The sequence below is a fragment of the Homo sapiens genome, chromosome 2 (genome assembly GCF_000001405.40).
Source record: "Homo sapiens chromosome 2, GRCh38.p14 Primary Assembly".
Lineage (NCBI taxonomy): Eukaryota > Metazoa > Chordata > Mammalia > Primates > Hominidae > Homo > Homo sapiens.
This window is the reverse complement of record NC_000002.12, coordinates 168,945,435-168,957,941: the sequence shown is the minus strand read 5'-3', so window position 1 is coordinate 168,957,941 and position 12,507 is coordinate 168,945,435. Positions and strand designations below refer to the sequence as shown.

At 36.2% G+C, this 12,507-nt stretch overlaps 1 protein-coding gene across 7 annotated transcripts in view; it reads left to right on the top strand.

Annotated features, from left to right (window-relative positions):
* The window catches only part of ABCB11 (ATP binding cassette subfamily B member 11), a 115,935-nt gene that overhangs the window by 73,383 nt on the left and 30,045 nt on the right, over positions 1-12,507 (top strand). The window lies entirely within an intron of this gene.

Below are 12,507 nucleotides of genomic sequence, written 5' to 3'. Positions count from 1 at the left end.
TTTCTTCTTCTCATACCTTTTATTTTATTATTTTGATAAGTCCGCTCTTTGTTTTCATGTATTTAGCTCTTTTCTGTTAGTTCATTTTTCTCATCTCTAAAGAATGAAAAATTTCCTAAGCCTCCATCACACAGAGGGTAAGAAGGCAAAGCTGAGAACTCTCATTTGGGCTCGCAGGGCACTCAGACAGTCATTGTACCTATAAAAAAGAAAATGGTACTGTCACTGAAAATTTTGTGTTAGAAGTGGGCAATTTTTCTAGTAATGTATATCAAACCTAATCAAAATGCAAAGTGGATTCACTGAATAATACAAAAGGCTTTTAGGGAAATTTTGATCTTGCTGAACAGCAGAGGTACAAAGTTTGACTTATATAGCAGGTGTTAGTGTTTGATGTATAATTCTCCACGGATTGCACTATTGAAATAGTAATGTGGATAGGAAGCAGAAAAAGAAAGACAGAAGTAAAATAAGGCATGATTGAAAACTAAGCTTATTCCAATTTTTCACTTCCTAGAATTTCTTATGTTCTCTATCTGACTTGATTGCTGTAATCATCATAATAACTATGAACATGTATCAGGCAATATCTAAGCATTTTATGTACAATAGTTCATTTAAGTTTACTAACAACCGTCTAAGGTAGGTATTCTTGTTATTTCTATTTTACAAAGGAGCAAACCAAGGCACAGAGAGCTTAGGCTAGCAAGTGGTGGAGTTGGGATTCAAATCCAGCCAGTGTAACTGTAGAGCCAGGTTCTAGTAAAATCTTGTCATTGCAAGATTAGTTATCAAAATTTGATCATGGAAACAGTACTGAAAGACAGCTGACTAGATGCAGGTAGTATGTGCCTTCTCCATGAAGAGGAATCAGAATAGTAGGTAGATACTTACATTTGGAACAGATTATCTGGGCTAGAACATTAGGATTCATCAAACAAGGGATGGGAAGCACCAGAAATAAGAAAGGAGAGGATCTAAGGCAGCTTACCCAGTTGGGGACTGCCTGAGAGCCACAAGAGGCTTTTGGATATGGGCAAACAGTAAGAGAGAAACATCCAGGGCTCCAAAATGGGCTTTCACAATCTTGGCTATGGGGTAAATCCTTGACCCACTAGGGCCTTTTCCCTGACATGAAGAGCTGCCTAAAGATTCCACGGAGATGTTACTCCAAAAGGGAAACCCACACAGAATCACACAGGCATCCAATCCTGGAGCAGCCTCTGTCAGGCATCATTTTGAGGGCCTAGATACCAGGAATATACAAACATGCACTGCCTCTGCACTGCTTCAAGGAGAGAGAGGGGAGACTAGATAATCCCATCACCCCCGGGAGGATCCCTGCCATGCTGTTGTGGTCTACTGTTGAGACTGAGTCATGAACAGACTCAGAGTAGTATCATACAAAGATCACACTACTGCATGAACCCAAAATCAAAGCCAAAGTATTTTTTAAAAATCTCCCCTACAAAAGCAAATTCAAAAATTGGAACAAGCAACTGATACATCAGATATACAGATATCAATGGAAGAACATAGGAAACATGAAAAAGCATGGAAATATGACACCACCAAAGGACCACAACAAGTGTCCAGCAACCAATAATGGTGTGGCTTTGTGTCCCCACCCAAATCTCATGCCAAATTGTAATCCCCACATGTTGAAGGAAGAACCTGGTGGGAGGTAATTGGATCATGGGTGGGTGGATTTCCCCCTTGCTATTCTTGTGATAGTGAGTGAGTTCTCACGAGATCTGGTTGTTTAAAACTTTGTAGTCTTCCCCTTTCGCTCTCTCTTCCTCCTGGTTTGGCCATGTGAAGACATGCCTTGCTTCCCCTTCACCTTCTGCCATGATTGTAAGTTTCCTGAGACCTCCTCAGCCATGTGGAACTGTGAACCAATTAAACCTTTTTTCTTCATAAATTACTCAATCTCAGCATCAGTGTGGCCTGGATGTGAGACAAGGTGTCAAAAAAGATTATTTTGGAGCTTTAAGATTTAACGACTGCCATGCTGGGTTTTGGACCTGCATGTGGCCTGGAGCACCTTTGTTTTGGCCAATTTCTCCCTTTTAGAACAGAAGGATTTACCCAATGCTTGTACCCCCATTTTATCTGGGAAGTAACAAACTTATTTTTGATTTTACAGGCTCATAGTTGTAAGGGACTTGCCTTGTCTCATATGAGACTTTGGACTTAGACTTTTGAGTTAATGCTTAAATGAGTTAAGACTTAGGGGACTGTTGAGAAGGCATGACTGTGTTTTGAAATGTAAGAAGGACATGAGTTTTTGGAGGGGTCAGGGGCGGAATGATATGGTTTGGCTCTGTGTCCCCACCCAAATCTCGTGTCAAACTGTAATCCCCACATGTTGAAGAAGGGAACTGGTGGAAGGTGACTAGATCATGGGAGGAGATTTCCCCCTTGCTGTTCTCATAATAGTGAGTAAGTTCTCACAAAATCTGATAAAAGTGTGTAGCGCTTCCCCCTTCACTCTTTCTTCCTCCTGCTTTGGTCATATGAAGATCTGCTTGCTTCCTCTGTTCTTTCCACCGTGATTGTAAGTTTTTTGAGATCTCCTCAGCCATGTGGAACTGTGAGTCAATTAAACCTCTTTTCTTCATAAATTACCCAGTGTCAGGAATAGCAGTGTGAGAACAGTTTAATAGAGATACCAATGAAAAAGAATTTCTTGAAATGCCGGGTAAATAATTTAAAATATTGATTTTTAAAGATAGTAAAATGCAAGAGAAATCTGAAAACCAATACAAAGAAATCAGAAATCAATTCAGGATATGAATGAGAAATTTACCAAGGAGATAAATAGCATTTTAAAAAAATAAGCAGAAATTCTGGAACTCAAAAATTCATTGAAGGAAATACAACATACACTTTAAAGCTTAAATCATATACTAGACCAAGCAGAGATAAGAATTTCAGAACTTGAACACATGTCTTTTGAAATAATCCAGTCAGACAAAAATAAGGAAAAAAGAATAAAAAGAATGAACAAAGCCTTTGAGATGTCTAGGACTAAGTAAAGGGACTGAACATGGACTAAATAAAGCAACTGAACTTATGAATTATCAGTATCCTGAAAGGGAAGAGAGATCAAAAGGTTTAGAAAACATATTTTAAAAAATCATCAATAACAACCTCCCAAGTCTGTCAAGACTGTTAGACAACCAGTTCAGAAGTCCAGTGATTCCCCAGGCAAACACATTACAAAAAGGAATTCACCATTATATATTATGTTCAGAATGTCTAAAGTCAAAGTAAAAGAAAGAATTTTTAAATTAGCAAGAGTAAAGCATCTACTCATCTATAAAGGAAACCCCATCAGACTAATAGCAGACTTTTCAGCAGAAACCTTACAGGCCAGAAGAGAAAGAGATGGCATTTTCAAAGTGCTGAAAGGAAAAAAAAAACTGTCAGCCAAGAATTTTGTGTCCTGCCAGAATAAGCTTCATAAGTGAAGGAGAGATAAAGTTCTTCCCAGACAAGGAAACATTTAGAAAAATTATCACCACTAGATTGGACCTACAGGAAATGCTCAAAGGGGTCTTAAACATGGAAACAAAAGGTCATTGCTCACCATCACAACAACACATTGAAATATAAAACTCACAGTTCATATAAAATAATCACACAAGGAAGAAGAGAAAAAAATAAAATGGCATAACAGAATTTCATCAAACTACAAAGACAAAAAAAACAGAAAAAGAGGGAAACAATTTATAAAATAACTTGAAAACAATCAGCAATATGACAGGAACAAAGCCTCACATATCAATATTAACCTTGAATGTGTGACTCCCAAAAATCTGAGACAGGTCCCAGTTAATTTAGAAAGTTTATTTTGCCAAGGTTGAGGATGTGCACCCATGACACAGCCTCTGGAAGTCCTGACAACATGTGCCCAAGGCAGTCAGAGCACAGTTTGGTTGTATACATTTTAGGGAGACACGAGACATCAATCAACATATGTAAGGTGAACATTGGTTTGGTCTGGAAAGGCAGGACAAGCCAAAGCAGAGAGGGGTCTTCCAGGTCATAGGTAGATAAGAGACAAATGGTTACATTCTTTTGAGCTTCTGATTAGCCTCTCCAAAGGAGGCAATCAGGCATCCCTTTATCTCAGTGAGCAAAGGGGTGACTTTGAATAGAATGGGACGCAGGTTTGCCCTAAGCAGTTCCCGATTTGACTTTTCTCTTTAGCTTAGTGATTTTGGGGGCCCATATTTTCCTTTCACAAATGTAAATGGATTAAATGTCCACTATTAAATACATATTGGAAGAATGGATTAAAAAAATAATCCAACTAAATGCTGACTATAAGAAACTCACCTTACCTATAAAGACACATATAGACTGAGAGTAATGGGGCGTAAAAAGATATTCCATGCAAATGGAAACCAAAGTTGAGCAAAAGTAGCCACACTTATATCAGATAAAACACTTTAAATCAAAAATAGTAAAAAAAAAAAAAGACAAGATAATTATGTAATGATAAATTCAACAAAACGTTATAACAATTCTAAATATATATGAACTCAACATCAGAGCACCCAAATTCACAAAACAAATATAAGCAAAACTAAAGAAAGATAGGGCAATGCAATAATAGTGGGGGAATTTAACATGCCACTCACACACTAGCCAGATCATCATGTCAGAAAATCAGCAAACAAACATTGGACATAAACTGGATTTTATATCAAACTTAACAGACATTTACAGAACATTCTACCCAACAACTACAGAATGTACAGTCTTTTCCTCAGGATATGGAACATTTTGCAAGATAGATCAGATATTAGGCCACAAAACAAGTCTTAATGAATTTTTTAAAAACTGAAGCCATATCAAGTATCTTCTCAGGCCACAGTGAAATAAAACTAGAAATCAATACTAAGAAGAAGTTTGGAAACTATACAAATACATGGAAATTAAACAGCATACTCTTGAATAATCACTGGGTCAATGAAGAAATTAAGATGGAAATTAGAAAATTTTTTGAAATGAATGAAAATGAAAACACAACATACCAAAACCTGTGAGATACAGCAAAAGCAGTGCTAAGAGGGAAGTTGATAGCATTAAATGCCTACATAAAAAAGTAGAAAGATCACAAATTAACAATCTATCATTGCACTTCAAGAAACTAGAAAAAGAACAAACCAAACCCAAAGTTAGCAAAAGAAAAGAAATAACAAAGACCAGAGCAGAACTATACAAAATAGAAACAAACAAAAAAAAAAAAACAAAGGAGCAATGAAACAAAAAATTGTTTCTTTGAAAAGATAAAATTGATAAACTGCTAGCTAATCAAAAAGAGAGAAAATCCAAATAAACTCAATCAAAAATGAAAAAGAAGATATTATAACAGATACCACAGAAATACAAAAGATTATCACAGACTATTATGAAAACCTACACTGGAAAACTTAGAGGAAATAGATAAATTCCTGGAAGCGTGCAACCTACCAAGATTAAATCAGGAAGAAATAGAAAACCTGAACAGACTAATAATGAGTAGCAAGACTGAGTCAGTAATAAAAAATTTCCTAACAAAAAAAAATAAAAGCCCAGGACCAGAAGGATTCATAGCTGAATTCTACCAAACAGGCAGAGAGCTAATACCAATCCTCCTGAAACTATTTTAGAAATCAGAGGAGGGAATTCTCCCTAACTCATTCTACAAGGCCAATATCACCTGATACCAAAACCAGACTAGGACATCACAAAAACAGAAAACTACAGACCAATATCTCTGATGAACATAGATGTAAAAATCCTTAACAAAATAACTGAATCCAAGAGCACATCAAAAAGATAACACACCATGATCAGGTGGGATTTATACAAGGCATGCAAGGATGGTTCAACATATGCAAAGCAATAAACATGATATATCACATAAACAATATTAAGGGAAAAAATTATCATTTCAATAGATGCAGAAAAAACATTCAACAAAATTCATCATCCCTTCTTGATAAATATTCTCAATAAACTAGGCATAGAAGGAACATACTTCGACATAATAAAAGCCATACAAACCAACAGCAAATATCATACTTAATGGGGAAAAGTTGAAAGAATTCTAAGAACTGGGACAAGATAAGGATGCCAATTTTCACCACTCTTATTTAACATAGTACTGGAAGTCCTTGCCAGAGCAATCAGGCAAGAGAAAAAAAATAAAAGGCATGCAAATTAGAAAAGAGGAAGCCAAATTATCCCTGTTTACTGATGAAATCATATTATTTATAGAATACCCTAAAGACTTCACCAAAAACTCTTAAATTTAGTAAGTGAATTCAGTAAACTTTCAGGATACAAAATTAATTTACAGAAATCAATAGTGTTTCTATACACCAATATTGATCTAGTTGAGGGCCAAATCATGAAGTTAATCCCATTTACAATAGCTACAAAAAAAATACTTAGGAATATATTTAAGCAAAGAGGTGAAAGATCTCCCTAAGGAGGACCACAAAACACTGATAAAAGAAATCATAGATGCCACAAACAAAAGGAAAAACATCCCATGCTCATGGATTGGAAGAATTAATAACATTAAAATGACCATACTTCCCAAACCAATCCACTGATTCAATGCAATCACTATCAAATTACCAATGTCATTTTTCACAGAATTAGAAAAAAACAATTTTAAAATTCACATGGAACTAAAAAAAAGAGCCCTAATAGCCAAAGCAATCCTAAGCAAAAGGAACAAAGCTAAAGGTATCATATTATTTGGCTGACTAAATTATTCTACCAAGGTATACAAATAGACACATAGATCAATGGAACAGAATAGAGAACCCAGAAACAAAGCCACATACCTAAAACCAAGTTATCTTTGAAAAAGTCAACAAAAATATTCATTGAAGAAGTGACACCCTACTCAATAAAAGGTGCTGGAAAAATTGGATAGCAGTATGCAGAAGAAAGAAATTAGACCCATACCTCTCACCACTTACAAAATTAACACAAGATAGATAGAACACCTAAACATAGACCTGAAACTATAAAAATACTAGAAGAAAACCTAGGAAAAACTCTTCTGGACATTTGCTTAGGCAAAGAATTTAATTCAAAGTCCTCAAAAGCAAACACAACCAAAACAAAAATAGACAAATGGGAATAAATTAAGCTAAAAAGCTTTTGCACAGCAAAAGAAGCAGTCAACAGAGTAAACAAACAACTTACACAATTGGAGAAAATATTTACAAACATTACATCCAACAAAGGGCTAATATTCAGAATCTATAGGGAACTCAACTCAAGCAACAACCAAATAATTTCATTAAAAGGTAGGTGAAGGACATGAGCAGATATTTTTCAAAAGAAGACATACAAGCAGCCAACAAACATTAAAAAAATGCTCAACATCACTAATCATCATAGACATGTAAATTAAAACCACAAAGAGATACCATTTTACAACAGTCAGAACAGCTATCTTTAAAAAGTATAAAAACAACAGATGTTAGCAAAGATGTGGAGAAAAAAGAATGCTTATATACTGCTGGTGAGAATGTAAATTAGTACAACCTTTATGGAAAACAGAATGGAGATTTCTCAAAGAACTAAATATGGAACTACCATTTCATCCAGTAATCCCACTACTGGGCTGTATTAGGGACAGCGTTCTCTAGAGGGACAGAACTAATAGGATATATATCCATATATGTATACACACACACATATACACATATATATACATATTTATAGGCGTTTATAGGATATATATCCTATTTTGTGTGTGTGTGTGTGTGTGTGTGTGTGTATATATATATATGGGAGTAATAGGATATATATCATTTTATATATATATAGGAGTTTATTAAGTATTAACTTACACATGATCACAAGGTCCCACAATAGGCTGTCTGCAAGCTTGAGGGGCAAGGAAGGCCAGTCTGAGTCTAAAAACTGAAGAACTTTGAGTTTGATGTTTGAGGGCAGGAAGAATACAGCAGGAGAGAAAGATGTAGGCTGGGAGGCTAGGCCAGTCTTGCTCGTTTACATTTTTTTCTTCTTGCTTTATATTCACTGAGAGCTGATTAAATTGTGCCCACCAGATTAAGGGTGGGTCTGCCTTCCCCATACTGCTGATTCAAATGTTAATCTCCTTTGTCGACACCCTCACAGACTCACCCAGGGGATCAATACTTTGTATTCTTCAATCAAGTTGTCACTCAGTATTAGCCATCATATGGGCATATACAAAGGGAAAGAAGTCATTATGTCAAAAAGATACCTGCACTCATATGTTTATTGTCACACTATTCACAATAGCAAAGACACAGAATCAATCTAAATTTTTATCAACAGAGGATTGGATAAAGAAAATACGATATACCATGGAATACTACTCAGCCATAAAAAGGATGAAATCATGTCTTTTGCAGCAACATGGACAGAACTGGAGGACATTACCCTAAGTGAAAAAATTCAGAAACAAAAAATCAGATGCCACATGTTCTCACTTAAAAGTGAGAGCTAAACAATGGGTAAACATAGACATACAGGGTGGAATAATAGACACTAAAGACTCCAAAAGTTGGGAGGATGGGAGGGAGATGAAGGTTGAAAAATTGCCTATTGGGTACAATGTTCACTATTCAGGTGATGGGTGCACTAAAAGCCCAGACTTCAATATGCATGTAAGAAATCTGTGCTTGTACCCCCTAAATATACAAAAATTTTAAAAAGTTAATTTTAAAAAAGCAGTTTAAAAAAATGTGATCATGTTTTCTTGGCTGAAATTCACACACACATATATACACATAAATCCTTTGAGGTCCACAAGGAAGGAAACCTAGAACTGTCAACTTGTACAAGGTGATGGGGCCAGGACTAGGGCCCAGGTTTACCGAATCCTAGTCTATAGAATTTGCCAACATATCACATTGTCAGAGCTTATTAAATGATAAAAGCTTACATTTTAGTTCCCTACTCCATTTCTTTCTCTCACATCACCTCTCCTGACCGTAAAAATGACCCCACAAGCATGAGTTGTACAGAAAAACCTGGATAATCCACAAACAAAATCAAGTCCATCGTGTAAGGAGGGCCCCAGCCACCACTGTAGTTTTCGCATTGCCCCCTTGTGGTAAGTGAAGAAATCACATTAATTTCAGAAAGGTAGAGAATCGGAAACACTCAACTTTGATTAACTGAATTTCTAGTTATATGGTGCCATAAACTTTTATGCTGAAAATCTTTGAAATAATTTATATTTCTTGATTTCCTAGTAGGTACAATATCCAAATATAAAATGAATCATCTTTTATTCCCTCGACAGATCTGTATTGATTGTCTTCCCCAGACATGGTGCTGTGGACTGGGGAATGCATATCGGTTATGATGCTTTCCCTAGTGGAGTTTTCAGTCTGTGAGGAAGATAACATCAACAAAAAAAAACCCACTCATCATTCAACAGATATTTACCACCTATAGTTTTCCAGGCATTGTAACTAATGTTGGGCATAGAGTGGAGGACAAGAAAATCATTGTGTGTTTGTGTGTTGCTTGCACAAAGCTGACATTCTAGTAGGGAGAAGCTGGGGAAGTGCATTTCACTGGGCAATGATGTTAGTGTAGAAGGTGTAGGGAATAGGGTTGGATCAGAAAGAATCCAAGCCTGTGTCCTGGATGTTTGCTTTTTAAAAGAAATCCAAAATGTCAGCTTCTTTGCTGATTATTTCTTTACCTCTTATAAAAGCAGAGTAAAGAATATCCTCACCCATCTCCACCTAAACTGTGCATATGAGCTGCTGTGGAGAGTTCTGACTTTCCTGTCAGGAGATCTTTCTTCTGAAACTGGCTCTTCTAGTTACTTACCACATCCTGTGTGCCCTGGGATCATGTCATACCTCTTCTCCCGGTCTCCATTTCCTACAAAATGCAGGATTTAAAAGATGATCTCTAAGATATCTTCCAGCTCTAGTGGTCCATGAAATGGCTAAGTTAAAAAAAAAAAGAGATTCAACTATAATTGCTGTCCTTCTTGAGCACCTGCTTGGTCATTGGTGGTGACAATATTCTCTGTGTTTCTTCTGGTGACAACCAGAAACCTTAAGATGGACTTAGAGACTTAAGGGCTGCAGGACCAGAGTAGGCAGCATCTAGGTGATGAAATCCAAAGTCTACTCGTCGTTCTTGTTCTCACAGGGTTATATTTGCTAAGAGAATGATGCCGAACAAACCACTATTTTTCCTCTCTGGTAGAGTAGGTTGTCTCTTTGCATAATTATCATGTGTTCATTAGTAAACTCATGATGCTTTCTTCTCACAGGGTATAATTGTGAGTCTATTTATAGTTGCTCTATTTTCCTTCTGACATACCTAAAGGGCACAATATGCACATTTGTTGTATTGAGACCACACTGTGGGAATGGACCCAGCAAATGATTGGGCCTTATTAGGAGCCCAGTTGCCAATCTAGCTAAGCCTCAATATACATGTAAGGCGTAATTTGTCTGCTTCACTTTCCCTGTGTCCATTTGACTTGGAAAATGTGCCAATGTTCCAAGCACAGCACTTGGGATGTAGCATGCTGGGGAAAAAAAAAAATGGATGTGAGAGTCGCCAGCTCTGGATTTGTAGTAGGTCTCTACTCTGTACTATCTGTATATATTTAGGTGAGTGATTTATCCTTGATAAATTTCCTCATCTGTATAAGGAGCAAGAAAATCTACCTCACTGGGTTGTTTTGAGAATCATAATTCCTAATTTAAGTTACAGCAGGTTAATCTACGCATTTGACATGTGGCACATAGCAAAAGGTTAATGAATGTTAGTTTTCTCCTTCAACAAACTTACCATTACAAAAATAGCAAAGATGTGTGCCAAAACTACAACTAGTAAAGGAACAGAGGAATCTATGGATGGATAGCCCTTGGAGTTGCATTTCAACAATAAGAATATACAAAGAACTCGTGGAGCAGAATTTTGTGAAAAAAGATTATGGATAGAGAGATGCCCAACCTTGAATTGGACAGTTGTATGAATTTTAACATTAGCTAAATGCTCTTTCTTTTTTTAACACTGAGAAGGTAAGTAATACAAAAAGCTAAAAGAGCATACCCAATAGAAAACCACTGCACCAGAAGCCAAAAAACAGGCATTTTCTTATCTAGTAATAACCACTAGCTTAATGAACTTGAACAAACAACTTGATGTTTGGGGCTTTATTTTCCATCTATAAGAGTTAAATGGGAAAATCTGCTGTTCTATAGACCATCATTATAAAAGGTGACCTTAAGGAGGAATGGGAATTGTGGCATCGCAGTTTGGGGTTTCAGGGTATTTGCACAGTAATTTTAAAAATATTTATCTTTAAATTTTTGAATTTTTAGACTCTGTAAACTTACGAGTTATGCTATGCTGGGAAGAATTACTGTGCTACTTTCTGAACCCACTTTTACCAGTATTGAGCACCATGAAGGCCCTAGAAACTTCATCCTACAAACAGTAAAATCTCATTAATTTAGAACCCCTCCTACTCACTTTGTAATTTGCCATAATTTGAACGGGTTACTTTTGCTTTACAAAAAAAAGGATTTGTTAATGGAGTAGCACATATTGTTTCCAAGGAGATTTATTTGGCAAATAATAGCTACTTAGTAAATATTTTTGAATAAATGGTCTCCTTTGAACAACTATTTGTTGACACTGTTTTAATGACTCAAATTAATTCAGGAAAATGAATAAAGATGTATTGTATAGCTCTCTAATGCATACTTCTGACCTTCCCAGTTCCCTCACCTGGCCTAAATTACAAAGGTTCTGTTATGCACAAAATCCATTTCACCACAAGGCAATGTCATTGGAGTATGTTCTTTCATTTTTCTTATTGTAACAAGATCCTCAGTTACTTGAACAGATGTCTGTAAATTCAGAATACGTTTGAGTGTAGTTTACTAAGCATTATACACTAAAAACTCCCACTCACAATGGCCGTAGTTTTTTAGGGGGTGGGGGAATGTTTCAGCTTCTGGTGAGTTAGAGGCAACAACCTCAATATCAGATGAATGAAATTTTTTTCTCTCCTAAGGCAATTCCAGTCAATGCTTTGATAGTTTCTTTTTTAATGCTGTATAGTCTATAAAACTAATTAACCGGCAAATTACCTGAGTGAAAGTCATATTTTCTTTCATTTAGTAATAGAGAAAGATATCGGTCAAAATATTAATACAACTTTGAGTTTTGTCCCAGACAACATTTCCAGATCTCGATTCCCTCCCTCCCTCCCTTCCTTCCCTTTTTCCTTCATAACTCCCTCTCTCCTTCCCTCCCTCTTTGCTTCCTTTCTTCCTTCTTCCCTTCCGTCCTCTCTTCCTTCTTCTGTCCCTCCTTCCTTTCCTTCCTTCCTTTCTTCCTTCTTTCTCAGTTTTATTACTTAAATGTTTTAATCATTTTATCATCCTTTTCATCTGTGTTGATGAAAAACCAACACAATTGCCTAAAAAGGCAAAATAACAAGAC